Consider the following 14,916-nt stretch of genomic DNA (forward strand, 5'->3'; position numbering starts at 1 on the left):
TATCATAATAAAAGTAATAGGCTCATTTCTTTGGCCCTACATATTCATCTACCAAATTTCTAGGCCAGAGATTCTCAAACATTTTGGTCTCAGAAATACTTTCCATCCCTAAAAATTATTAAAGGCCCCAAAGACCTTTTATTTGTAAGGGTTATATTCATTGATATTTACTGTATTCAAAGTTACTGTATTCAAAGTACTGTATTCAAAGTTAAAACAGATATTTAAATAATATTTATTCATTTTAAAATAACAATGTTAACTAGGTAACATCAATAACATGTCAAAAATAACTATATTTTATAACAAAACATTTAGTTAAAAGAATGGCAAATTTCTTTAATACTTGGGTTAGGAGGACACAGCTATACTCATGTCTTCTGCATTTAATTCCTCATGGGGTTTTTGAAGTACATGAAGAAATCTAGCCTCATACAAATATGTAGCAAAAAAAAAAGACAAGATTATCTTAATAGCCTTTTCAGATAAGTGTGGATAGTCTTCTTTGATGACTTACCAAAATTTGAAAAATGGCAATTTCTGAAAGGTTGGTTGTGATGTGAAATCTTTGTTTGGTATTCTGTTATATTAAAAATTAAAATCAATTCATGTATCTTGCTATTTGAATGGATCTTTTACCCATGTATGATTTTGTAACTTTGTGCATCAAATGTTTCCAATATATTGGCTCACTTAGTTATACAGAGCTTCCAAATATACATTGGAAAATTCCCCCACATACTCATGAGATAATGAAAGTGAAAAAAGGCAAATAACACTTTAATATTAGTATAAAAATAATGTTGATTGTTTCCAGACTGTAGGGCCTAGTGATTAAGAGAGCAGGATCTGGTGTCAGACTAATATGTACAACTATAAGCTCTGCCCACCTTAGGAAAGATACATGCCTCCATTTATCATGGGTATAATAAAATATCTACATCATTAGAACTGTTGTTATGTTGAGATGACATAATACATGTAACATAATGGCACACAGTAAATGACCAAGAATGACGGTTTTGCTTTGTTTTTTAAAATGTCCTTTTAGTTCTGATTTTCTCCTGTGCTTTCAATTTATATTCATGTTCTCTATACCTTTACTTTGTCCTCTCTTCTGGGATCTGACATTCAGGGTAAATGTGTCCTTAGGTCCTGACTGAAGAAAACGTTCAGGTTAGAATCTTCAGCTAAATCCAAATTGGACCAGAAGACAACTTCATTCATGCTTTTTAGGAAGTGAGACAATTTCTAGAACGTGGAAAGCAAAGCAAATTGAGTCATTTAATCCCAGGATCCAGAAGTTTCACAGGTGAAGGATATGACTTACTAAGGGAAGGATATGACTTATTAAGAGAAATCTCTAACTATGTATAGGGGCTCCTCGGACATATTTGTGATAGGAAGCAGAGTTTCTCTTTCAGGCTGCTTGAGTTAATGGAACATTTGGGAAGAGCATGATGTTAGCATGGGAGAATAGTTGCATTTAGCTCCTGGGCCATAGAAAGAAAACAGCTGACTTCAGTCCTTTGTAAGAAGTCTGGCGCAAGTTGGATTCAAATTTCCTGTTCTGGTTACAATTGCTGTGTAACAAATCACCCCAAAATCTGGCAGTGCCACTTACAACCACCATTTTATTAAGCTCACAGATTCTGGCCTCAGAAATTCAGAAAATGCACAGTAAAAACAGCTTCACCCTGCTTCTCCTTGTCTGTGGTGTCAGCCAGGAAGATTCAAAGGCTGAGAGAAAACTGAAAGAGCTGGAATCATCTGAAGGCTCATTCACTCACTGTTGGGCTCAGTGCCTATGCACAGTCTCTCCAGGGAGCCTGAGCTAATTCACAGCAGACAGCTTCAAGGTAGTCAGACTTTATATGGTGGCTTAGAACTCCAAGAGTGAGTGTTCCAGAAACAAACTCGAAACTGCACTTCCCCTCATGTCCCAGCTTCATAAGCCACACAGTGTCATTCCCACCACACTCACCTGGTTGAAACATTCACAATCACAAGACTACCCATATTCAAGGGGAGGGGACAAAGACCCCATCTCTCGCTAGGAGTAGTGTCAAATAATTTTTGGCCACGTTTTAAAACTACCTGAGTGCTAGACAAGGAAACTATTAAGTGGAGTTTAATGTGAAGAACAATTTAATCCCGTGAGCGTGGACCCAGGGACGGAGAACAAACAGAAGCAACAAAACATTTCTGAGCCCAGGAAGTCAGAGGTTAACTTGGATACTTCAGGACTTGGCTGACTTGGGCTGGAGAAGCATCAGAGTTTCTTTGGTAGCAGAGCTGGATATGAAGAGACCGAATGCGGAAGCTTGGCAAGGAAAATGGGAGAACAGAGAATAAAGAAAACAAAATCACTCAGAATCCAACTCCCCAGAAGTAACTGGTCTTTACATTCTGATGTGTTTCTTTTAGTGTTGTGTCTGCAATATATGTATATTTATGATTTATGTTGTGTGTATGTAAGCAAGAAAGAACATGCATGTGAAGCAACATTGCAATCATACCATATAAACAATTTTATGTCCCATCTTTCAACTCAAGAATTGGCTTACTTCTCATTGGCATCCCACCCTGAACAGATTTACATTTCAGTTCTGTTCACTTCTGCTAAATCAGCTAAGTTAGTCTTGATAGAGTTCCTGTGTGCCTAAGTTTCTCTGTCCATTGCCAACAACTTGCCACTGAGTTTTTGTTGTTATTGGTGTTTTAAGTATTTACCAATTTGAAAAAGGCTTTCCAACCAAGAAAGGAACAAAGTCATTAATTACTCCTGTCCATAAACCTAAGGGCCAAAGCCTCTAATATATTAAATAACAAAGTTTCTGCCTTATAAAGCAGACTCTGCCATCTTGCACCAATGCACCATTCCTGGTGCAGAAGCAACAGCAACAGCAAAGATTACAAGCAAATAAACAAACACAAACCAAACTGCTACTGCAATCATTGCTCATCGCTTCCAGAAATATTGAGAAGGACCCAGGTTACATATTTGGCCACCTAAGGTCTTAGGTGGTTTTCTCCTTGTAACAAATGCCTAAAACAATATAATTGACTCCCATCCCCTCAACTGGTACCCTCATTTACCAGCAACCGATTGTTATGAGATAGAAACAAGGCCAATTAACAGCTCCCAAGCTTCCTGTGTTGACTTCTGAGACACTCGCTCCATTCCTAACCTCCTAACCCCCTGCTCTATTCCTAACGCTTGCTCCATCCCTAACCTCCTAACCCCTTCTGAAAGCAGGAACTGCAGAGCAATTGAGTGAGGAGAAAAATTATTCCTAGATTTTTATCAGAGGACAAAACTTTAGCCAGGTGTTAAATATCTCTTGCTAAAAGGCTTAGAAAAGCATAAGAAGAGAGAGTCAAGCTGAATATAGAACGTGTTGCATTTTTAAACAAAAATGCCTTTTTTTTTCTTTTGGCCAATGGATATTTCCAAATAACTAGTGTCTGCTTTAAAGTAACTATCATGACTGGGAACACAATAATTCTAATGATGCTATTCTTATCCACAGCCTTCTAAATGTGTCATGTGAAGTTATCTTTATAGAGATGATCATATTATTTTGCTTATACTCAATGGCATTTATTCAACATTTGTTTCGTCCCTACTTCTTGTTAGTTACTGCTATAGGCAGTGAGGATATAGGGCAAACATAACACACAGTATCTCTGCCTTTTCAGAACTTATAAACAAGCAAACAAATTATATTTCTTTTTTTCCATAACTTATTGGGGTACAGGTGGCATTTGGTTACATGAGTAACTTCTTTATTGGTGATTTGTGAGATTTTGGTGCACCCATCACCCAAGCAGTGTACAGTGTACCATATTTGTAGTCTTTTATCCCTCGTCCCCCTCCCACTCTTCCCCCCAAGTCCCTAAAGTCCATCGTATCATTCTTATGCCTTTGTGTCCTTATAGCTTAGCTCCCACATATCAGTGAGAATATATGATATTTGGCTTCCTATTCCTGAGTTACATCACTTAGAATAATAGTCTCCAATCTCACCCAGGTCACCACGAATGCTGTTAATTCATTCTTTTTATGGCTGTGTAGTATTCCATGGTATATACATACCATGGTTTCTTTATCCACTCGTTGACTGATGGGTATTTGGGTTGGTTCCACAATTTTGCAATTGCGAATTGTGCTGCTATAAACATGCATGTGCAAGTATCTTTTTTGAATAATGACTTATTTTCTTCTGGGTAGATACCCAATAGTGGGATTGCTGAATCAAACAAATCAGTAAGAAAGAAAGAAACAATCCCATCAAAAAGTTGGCTAAGGACATAAATAGACAATTCTGAAAATAAGATATACAAATGGTCAACAAACATATGAAAAAATGCTCAACATCACTAATGATCAGGGAAATGCAAATCAAACCACAATGTGATACCACCTTACTCTTGCAAGAATGGCCATAATCAAAAAATAAAAAACAGTAGATATTGGTGTGGAGACGGCGAACAGGGAACACGTTACTGCTGGTGGGAATGTAAACTAGTACAGCCACTGCGGAAAACAGTTTGGCAATTCCTTATAGAACTAAAAGTAGAACAAGTAATATTTCTGATGGTGTTACCTGCCAAGAAGAGAGAATGACGTGAGGGACTGGATGGGTCTGGGCATGTCTTCCTGAGGTGGTGACATGAAGAAAAGGGGTAAGCTACCTGAAGACGTAAGAATGATCTAGGACCCTTCTGGGAAACAAAGCTTTGTGAGTAAATGGAAAGCCACTGGTGGTTTTCAGAATGGAGTAATTTAATTTGGTAAAGATGGGTTTAACATAAGTGAGTGAATATGGTGAGTGTTTCAACTGAAGCATAGAGTTTATGACACGAATTCTGTTTTGTAGTTTGCAGAATAGGGGGTCATTTCTAAAAGATGAGTTCCAAAACTGTGTTAACAAAAGAGACCTTAGGAAATTATGCTCACCAGGCTCTCACCACAACTAAAGTCCTGACAAAGAATATTTTGTTACACACACACATGAGGGCAGATAGGTTTGCAAACAATTCAGTGTGTTTAAAACCCAAACAAATGAGTTATCTGTAGCTAGATAACTTGGCTACTCACATTGCTTTTCTTTTCTTTCTTGGAGGGTTAAATATGATGTTTGATTTTTTAAAAAATTCCTCATGAAAACTTTAATGGCATATAGAGTCTAGAGTTTGTCCAAATGATCACATTCAAACAGAGGGGCCCAAGGTAAGGCAGTCACCTGAACTCTAAAAACAGAAATGGGTCATGATTCACTAGGGGAAGTCTTGCTAACATGGACATACGGAAACATAGAATCCATACACATTTTTTTCACCATTTCGTTTACCACTCAGACTTTGGGTTTCTTCCCGTAAGTTTGTCTGTGACTCAGTTTTAGTTTCAGATGACTTAATGCTTCCATCTAATCAAGGGAAGCGAACATGATTATTTAACATATCCATGATCCCCAGTTACGATGCCAGGAGCCTCTAAGAGGGCTAATCTTGTGGCCTGGCATTTTTCATTTTTTCTTTTTACTTAAAAAAAAAAAAAATCATTGCTTACATGTGGCCTGCTAACCAAACATTTCTTTTATCCCTTGAGGATATTTCTGGGTCCATTTGCCTTGATAGCTCATAAAAGCCTATCCAAGAGCCTAAGTTACCTTGTATAGAGCAAAACTAGACCAGTTCCTACACTTCCTTCTTTGCTTTTACTTAGTAAAAATGCTAATGTTTCCAAGGGCCAGCCTTATCCACATACATTATCTCATTTTAGTTCTCACAATCACACTGTTATCAAAACAATTCAGGCATTATGGCTTTAATTTACAGATGCAAAAGTGGAAGAGCACAGAGCTTCGTGTCCTGCCTAAGGTTATTAGTAAGGCTGGCTGCTACACTCAAGCCAATGTCTGGGCCCCACAAAATTTAGTACAGTTTAATACATCACAATGTTTCTGTAGAACACATCCCAAACTTTATATATTATTTCCTACCCCAAGATGAGTATTAGACACTTATAACTTAAGTGTTTGACGTGCTCTTATTGTATATTTGTTATCTATCATCACAGTTTGTGTGGTTGATAGAGAATTCCAGAAAATGAAGTGTAACAGTTGTTAGAGATAATAGTCCTTCCTTCTCTCTCTAGACCATTATGGAAAGAGACTCTGTGGTTTATATTTGAAAATGGCACTGAAAACAGCAGTTAGGAGATAAATTTATTTTATTTTATTATTATTATACTTTAAGTTTAAGGGTACATGTGCACAATGTGCAGGTTTGTTACATATGTATACATGTGCCATGTTGGTGTGCTGCACCCATTAACTCATCATTTAGCATTAGGCATATCTCCTAATGCTATCCCTCCCCCCTCCCCCGACCCCACAACAGTCCCCAGAGTGTGATGTTCCCCTTCCTGTGTCCATGTGTTCTCATTATTCAATTCCCACCTATGACTGAGAACATGTGGTGTTTGGTTTTTTGTCCTTGCGATAGTTTGCTGAGAATGATGATTTCCAGTTTCATCCATGTCCCTACAAAGGACATGAAGTCATCTTTTTTATGGCTGCATAGTATTCCATGGTATATATGTGCCACATTTTCTTAATGCAGTCTATCGTTGGACATTTGGGTTGGTTCTAAGTCTTTGCTATTGTGAATAGTGCCGCAATAAACATACCTGTGCATGTGTCTTTATAGCAGCATGATTTATAGTCCTTTGGGTATATACCCAGTAATGGGATGGCTGGGTCAAATGGTATTTCTAGTTCTGGATCCCTGAGGAATCGCCACACTGACTTCCACAATGGTTGAACTAGTTTACAGTCCCACCAACAGTGTAAAAGTGTTCCTATTTCTCCACATCCTCTCCAGCACCTATTGTTTCCTGACTTTTTAATCATCGCCATTCTAACTGCTGTGAGATGGTATCTCATTGTGCTTTTGATTTGCATTTCTCTGATGGCCAGTGATGATGAGCATTTTTTCCTGTGTCTTTTGGCTGCATAAATGTCTTCTTTTGAGAAGTGTCTGTTCATATCCTTTGCCCACTTTTTGATGGGGTTGTTTGTTTTTTTTCTTGTAAATTTGTTTGAGTTCATTGCAGATTCTGGATATTAGCCCTTTGTCAGATGAGTAGGTTGCGAACATTTTCTCCCATTTTGTAGGTTGCCTGTTCACTCTGATGGTAGTTTCTTTTGCTGTGCAGAAGCTCTTACCTAGGAATCCAACTTACAAGGGATGTGAAGGACCTCTTCAAAGAGAACTACAAACCACTGCTCAAGGAAATAAAAGAGGATACAAACAAATGGAAGAACATTCCATGCTCATGGGTAGGAAGAATCAACATCGTGAAAATGGCCATACTGCCCAAGGTAATTTGTAGATTCAATGCCATCCCCATCAAGCTACCAATGACTTTCTTCAAAGAATTGGAAAAAACGACTTTAAAGTTCATATGGAACCAAAACAGAGCCCGCATCACCAAGTCAATCCTAAGCCAAAAGAACAAAGCCGGAGGCATCACGCTACCTGACTTCAAACTATACTACAAGGCTACAGTAACCAAAACCGCATGGTACTGGTACCAAAACAGAGATATAGATCAATGGAACAGAACAGAGCCCTCAGAAATAATGCCACGTATCTACGACCATCTGATCTTTGACAAACCTGAAAACCACAAGAAATGGGGAAAGGATTCCCTATTTAATAAATGGTGCTGAGAAAACTGGCTAGCCATATGTAGAAAGCTGAAACTGGATCCCTTCCTTACTCCTTATACAAAAATTAATTCAAGATGGATTAAAGACTCACATGTTAGACCTAAAACCATAAAAACCCTAGAAGAAAACCTAGGCAATACCATTCAGGACATAGGCATGAGCAAGGACTTCATGTCTAAAACACCAAAAGCAATGGCAACAAAAGCCAAAATTGACAAATGGGATCTAATTAAACTAAAGAGCTTCTGCATAGGAGATAAATTTACTTGAATTTCACTATCCTCTAAAGCTTACATTTCCACATCAATAAAAGTGGTATGATACATGGAAAAGGGGTCACAATAGTTCTGCAAACCTATACCAGCTAGTCTATATGTGCATTTTCTTGCTTTGCAACCTTTTTGAGTGGTTCAGGAAAAAAATATTAGCAAAAACTGTAATAGGTTGAATTGATCAAAAGGAGGAAGGTGTGAGGGTAGGGATGGAAGTAATAAAAGTGGAGTTTGGGAGTTGCCTACTTATTGAGTTGAGTGAGGGCATACAGCAAAGAAACTAAGCCAGTTGTTATAATAAAGCTTAAGACTATTCAGGAAAGGAGATGAATGAAGACTTCTAGGAGGTATTACTGGGCATTAGCAAGGTGATTCCTCTTTGCTTTCTCCTCAGTGTTCAGTCTCCTTAACACTCCTTTACATACAGAGAAAATTTACATTGATCTTTAGTGATTTTTAGAGTACTGCTGTGTTTTGTTTGTAGGGTTGCCAGATTTGACACATAAAAATATTGGGAAATACAGGAAGTACCCACCCCAATTAAATTTGATCGCATTCAAGGACATTCAGATAAACAATGAATAATTTTTCTGTGTGTCTTAAATTCTGTGTGTCTTAAAAATATGACATTCTTTTACTAAAAATTGATGTCTGAAATTTACATTTAATAGGAACCTGTATTTTATCTAGCAACTTGGCTAAAAACACAGATAAAAGCAAGAGAGTTTATTTTATTGGCTTACATGCAAATTGAGGGAAAGTTTCCTGGAGGCTTTCAGGCAGTAACAGCTGTTCCCAAACTTGTCTCGACATTAGAATCACCTGAAGAACTCCAGATGCCAGTGCAGTGGCTCTGGAATTCTGCCAGGGTGTGGGATTTTTTTTCAAAGTATTCCAGGTGACTCATGTACAACAGTGAGGAGCTGGTGACTGATGTCCAGTGCTTCTTAACTTTCCCTACATGTAACAAACATCTGGGGAACTTTTAAGTATACCCATGCCCAGATCCCACCAAGAACAATTAAATCAATGTCTACAGGCAAGACCCTTGTATTGCTATTAGTATAAAGTTTTCAGTAAATTTTAATGTTTCTTCATTAGAGAGCCCTAAATTGTAGCCTAAAAATGGCATCCCATGGCCTTTCCAGGTATAGAAATGTCATTTCTAGTTATAATATATCTCAAAAAGTTTAATTTTTTAAATTATGAAATTAATATTTTTCTTATAAATTCAAGCAATGTGGAAAAATCTAAAATAAATATGAACTCCCAAAATCTACTTTCTAGAGGTATCTGCTATTAAAACCTTGATCTATTTTTAACTTTTTAATTATTTTTAATCATTTACCAAAATTTTTAATCATTTACCAAAATATGGAGAATTATATGCTTATACTCTGAAAAGAATGTGTCATAGATAGAAAAATTGTAACAATCAATTAGGTTAAATTTATCAACCCTTAGATACATTTTTTAAAATGAACATCTGACTTAGGGCTTACATATTTTAAAAGCTTGTATGTTGGGAGATAAGTATTTTATTATTGGGTTTAGATGCAGATAAGAGAGGCCCCTCCAAAAAATTTTATTTAAACATTTTATTCCTTAAGTGAAAACAGTCTAGGAATCATATGGCAGCTCTGTGGTAACATTACTTTATCTGAGAAATCCTCAGCAACCCAAGTTTCTTCTATCGTGTTGTTCTACTATTCATGGTTCACATTCCCAAGATCAGCTCATGGTCCAAGAAAGGTGTTTTGCTGCCAGCCTTCACATTGACACTGGAGTCCACAAGAAGCAGGAAAGAATAAATAGCAGCAAAAGATACACACCACTTATCTTTTAAAGAAGTTGCCACACTTCACTTTTAATGGGCCAGAACTTTGCCATGTTTCTACACCTAGCTGAAAGGAAATACTGTGTTTATTCCAGGCTTCAATGTGAATCAATGAAATCAGAAGCTATAACATTAGGGAAGACTTCAACAGACAAGCACACCTCTCCCACAATCATTCCCCACTCCTGACATTCCCATGTGAGATAGTGACATTACAGAACACTCCTGGCCATTCTCTGCCCTCTGAAAGAAAAAACTGAGCATGAGTAGTTCAATTCCTTCTTTTTGCCTCTCTTTGGGGAGGCAGCCTGTCTGAAGGGCACACATAGTCCTACCTACTCCATGGGGTAGTATTAGAGAGACAAGCCTCTACCAGGAACCCCTCTGTTTTTCCACCTCTGCCTGAGACAGGGAGGGTAACTGATTCTATATCATTCTGCAAACCTATTGTTGCCAGAATATATGGCATATCCTTATAACAGCCTTATCAGGATAAAAATGATTTCTGTTTTCCTCCGATACCTATTTCTCAATGGATTTCACTGACAAAGTAATCTCTCAAAATACCAGCAATATAAACATAGTTTCCTTTTGAAAGTTACAGAGCTATCATTGAAGTAAACGATATAATCTCTCCCTGATTTCTATGTCCAGGCAGGCCCTCTGATTGTAACTCAAACAGGTAGCATGACTACTCTGTAAACAGAAATGCATAAAGCCATATAGAATTAAGAGAGATACACAAACACAACAAACAGAAAAAAAAATAGAAATGTTATAAATATTAGAAAAAAACAGTAATATCTAAGTAATTCAAAGGAATAAAATGAACCCTGAACATGGCCAGGAAAAATCTTCATGGCTGTCATCTGATTTGCCAGACTTTTGAAAAAATATCCCCACATCCCCAGCCATATTGTCCATTCGATGTCATCTATCAGGCCAGTAGGCAGCCTGGGTCATATGTGGGCAGATTGTATTCCATGCCCATTAGCCATATTTTCCTTTTCCTATTCAAATAATGGCTTGATTCTGTCTGTGCCCATCTGACATTCTCATTTTAACTATCAATTACATCCCTTCAAAGCAGGAAAATCTATCAATTAATAGTTTTTAACAAAAAATGTAAAAATACATATTTTAATAAAGAAATTGAACTCAGATGTGCATGGTGACTACGGAAGAAGATAAAGGTATATCAGTGTGTGAGTGGAGGAATAAATAAAAAATACTCTATGTTACCTAGGACATACACATTTTAAATGTTTTGTTGTTGTTTTTATAACATAGTAATTTCATTTCTCCTTTATAGTTAGAAAACCTCTGAAATTAATCTGATTTATTGAGGTAGACACCATGAGTATGTGCTTAAAAAAGATTTTGAACATTAGAATAATTTGAAACTGGGTTTTATTTTTTTCATGCTTAAAATCTCAATGTTATGAAAGATGTTGCTTTAAAATGTTTTAAATCTCTGCTAAATTTTTGCTGTGGCGGCACGGAAACTGGAATAAAAATGGCGATCTGTGTTTTTAGTTCTGGTTTGATTACTAGTTAATTCTCAATGTAATTTTAGACACATAATCTGGGCCTCTCCCACTTCCTTCATTTGTATATTAGAATGTAGAGCAGATGGTCCTTAACACTTCTTCTGATTTTAAAATCCACTGATACTATTCATTAAAATTTATAGATTGGTACTGATAAATTCTTGGATTAAAAAATGAGCATAGTTTAACAAAAAAATCCATGAGCTGGTGCTGCCCCCTATTGTAGCTTGTTTTATTCAGCTTTCTGACATGGAGCGGGGAAAGGCAGCAAAGCGAGATAAATATTTTGTCACTCTACTTGCTTCTCCCTGGCACTCTCTACTTGTTTATTTCTGTAAAATCAAGAGGTTTTAAAATGGTTTGATTTCTAACTATGTTATCTTTTATCTGTTATAATGAAAAAAGTTAAAACTCATGTAAACTATGTTTAGTGATTGTTAACTAAGACAATTTGAGCAACATGTTTTCAAAACTGTTTAAGGAAAAGATTGCTCCTATAATTTCCTAAAATAAATTTGCCTAAGCCTGGGTCATAGAAGAGCTGACACAATTTTAAATAAATGTCTTTTACTTAACAGTAGTACTAGAAATATTAAACATTTTAAGAGAATCTGGAACTCAATAATATGATGATAGATAACTCATCTCAAAGAGAAAATATTTAGTTGTAAGTTAGGTATAACAAATAGTAATAAGTTGCAAGTTTCAATATTATATGATTATATTTATGTTAAAGAATTTTCCTCTGAATATTTCACATAAAAATCATGTGCAGTTTAAAAAAATAGGTCACTCACATTGCTAGCAATGTTGCAAATTAGATAATCTTAAAACCCCTCTTTCCATAGAATATATAAAGTGTGGCTGAAATATAACCAAAGGGCTTTTAGATGCAAAGTGTAGATTTTGGGAGAGTACAAGATTTTAGCAGAAGTTAAAAATAAAGAAAAATTGGAAACGTCTGACTATTAAGCTTAGTCTGGCATTTTCTTTGGCTTCTCAAATGGAAGGAGTCACCAACGTTTATTAGGAAGGGGCTTTGATTTTACCCACCACCATGAGGCTGGAAGTGAGGTCTTGGGCTTAGGCAAGGGTTGATATTAGAAGAGAGACCCCCAGTAAAGTGGAAAGTCTCAAAGGGACACACTCCAGTGTAAAAAGTGAGATAGAAAAATTGGCAAATAGAAATTAAGAGAAAGCTTGATTGTTTTGACCTCTGCTACAGGTAGGGAAAATTTGTTCCCTGAGAATTCATAAACCAGGATATGTCCACATCATTTAGGGGTTCATATTTGAAATACATACATGACTTGGGAAACACCAAACTGAAGAAATAATATAAAAAAATGGTCATCAGCTGGCAACACCACTGAGGCACCAATAGGAGCAAAGGTAAGCCTCTCTGGAGACAGCTACCCTCAGACAAGACTTCTGAGTCTCTTGCGTTTCCCGGTCATAGTCCTAAATTTTAAAACACATGAAGTAGCATGCCACCTTTCTCCTCTATTTCTGTTTCCCTGTATTTCTGGGTTAACAGACAAAGAAACCAAATATTACACAGAGATGAAAGAAAAACAGGGCATAAAAATTTGGAGTGTAGCCTCTGGATGTTTATACCGGTACTATGATGTTTTGGTTACTACAGCTTTGTAATATAATTTGAAGTCAGGTTATGTAATGCCTCCAGCTTTATTCTTTTTGCTTCTCAGTGCTTTGGGCAGTCACATAACGGCTTTGTGGATATACAGCTAGCTGAGTGGCCTTGTGCAAGATACCTAAATCTTCATTTTCTATTTTGTAAAATGGGAATCATTATAGTAATCTAACTCATAGGGTTATGAGAATTAAATGGGTTAATATATGGAAAGTCTTTAGAACTAGAACAGCGTCTGGTTTGTAGGAAGCATTAAATAGAGCTGGCTGGTTTTATAGTCTTCATCATTTTCACTATTGTTATTATAGGTAGTTGCATCATCCCACCTATCTCATGATTAGGTTGCTTTTTCTCCATGTGCCCCAGATGAATGTCCAACATCTGGCCTAGAATTAAATCTTTGGGTAAAGATAGCAATTATATATCCCCAAATTACATGATTTCACAACTGGCTTCTTTGCTGAGGAGCAGTACAAGTAAGAACGGCAAGAAATGTAATAGGCAACTATTAAGCTAGCTAATGGCAGTACATGTTTTCAGAATTTGCAATTTAAGTTTTTTGTTTAGATACTATGTGCAAAGGCATTACCATCTCCCCAGCTCTAGCACCTTCCCCACCCTCATTACACACACTAGTGAACACTCACCACGAACCTGCTCTGGGCAGCTGGGACACAGGATTACAACGATTGGCCTCATCAGATTTCTGGTTGGAACCTTGAGACTGCGCAGCTCTAGAAATTCTTGCATTAACTAAGTTCCACCGCTAGGTGGAAGTAGCTCCTCTAGCTCTAGGAGATTTCGTGTATCTCACCTTTTATCCAACCCTTTGGTTTTCTTTCATTACAATTATAGCAGGGACTCCTTATAGCATTTCATCTTCTTGGTACTATCACCTCTTGATGAGGTTTACTCTTCCTCTGAAAAATGAGATTGATGTTTACCTCATGATACAGTTGTGAGAATCCAGTAATACACATTTAAAAAAAAAAACACTATTTTATGTAATAATTACTTAGCTTTGTGCTACAATTATTTATCTACTTGCTTTATCCTTGCTGAGGGATAGACTGCATGTTCCTTTCTATCTTCTTGAACACCTAGCACCGTGTCATACACATATTTGAATTTTTTTCATTCATTCACCAATATTTATTGAGCATCTTAGATATACCAGACACTGCCCTGTACTCATGGTTTACCATAATAAGCAATCGATCCCTGCTTTGCTTGATGAAATTAGAAAGACTGACATTTTCAGTTACACCCACCATGCATTCAGCTTGCAGACATAGCTATAAAGTGCATCTTACTTACCTCCAGCAGGAACAGGAAGTTCCGCTGGACATATGGCACAGCCTGCCTTAACTGTCTCATTAAATGGGACAAAAATATATTATGCAGCACTTGAGATGGTGCTAATGACATGGCCTTTATTGAGTGTGCCAACATTCCACTGAGTATGTGTTCATTGTTGTCCTAAAAAATGTGTGTTTTGTTTGTTTTAAAGTCTATCCTGGCCCGGTGCGGTGGCTCACGCCTGTAATCCCAACACTTTGGGAGGCTGAAGTGGGCAGACCACCTGAGGTCAGGAGTTCAAGACCAGCCTGGCCAACATGGTGAAACCCTGTCTGTACTAAAAATACAAAAATTAGCCGGGCGTGGGGCGGGCCCTTGTAATACCAGCTACTCAGGAGGCTGAGGCAGGAGAATCGCTTGAACTCGGGAGGCGGAGGTTGCAGTGAGCTGAGATTGCACCATTGCACTCCAGCCTGGGGGACAAGAGCTAGATTTTGTCTAAAAAAAAAAAAGAAGTTAAAAGTCTATCTTGCCCACTAGCCTGTGAGCCCCTGAGAGTATT

The 14,916-nt window shown here is 37.2% G+C and overlaps 1 long non-coding RNA gene across 1 annotated transcript; it reads right to left on the bottom strand.

The window, feature by feature from the left end:
* Nucleotides 1-211: 211 nt before the first annotated feature.
* LOC105374145 (uncharacterized) lies at nt 212-14,609 on the bottom strand. Its single transcript, XR_001740949.2, has 2 exons — nt 13,870-14,609; nt 212-1,251 (listed from the first exon to the last, which is right to left on the bottom strand). It is a non-coding gene; the product is annotated as an uncharacterized LOC105374145 (long non-coding RNA).
* Between the last annotated feature and the right edge of the window lie 307 nt (nt 14,610-14,916).

The sequence above is a fragment of the Homo sapiens genome, chromosome 3 (genome assembly GCF_000001405.40).
Source record: "Homo sapiens chromosome 3, GRCh38.p14 Primary Assembly".
In the NCBI taxonomy this organism is placed as follows: domain Eukaryota; kingdom Metazoa; phylum Chordata; class Mammalia; order Primates; family Hominidae; genus Homo; species Homo sapiens.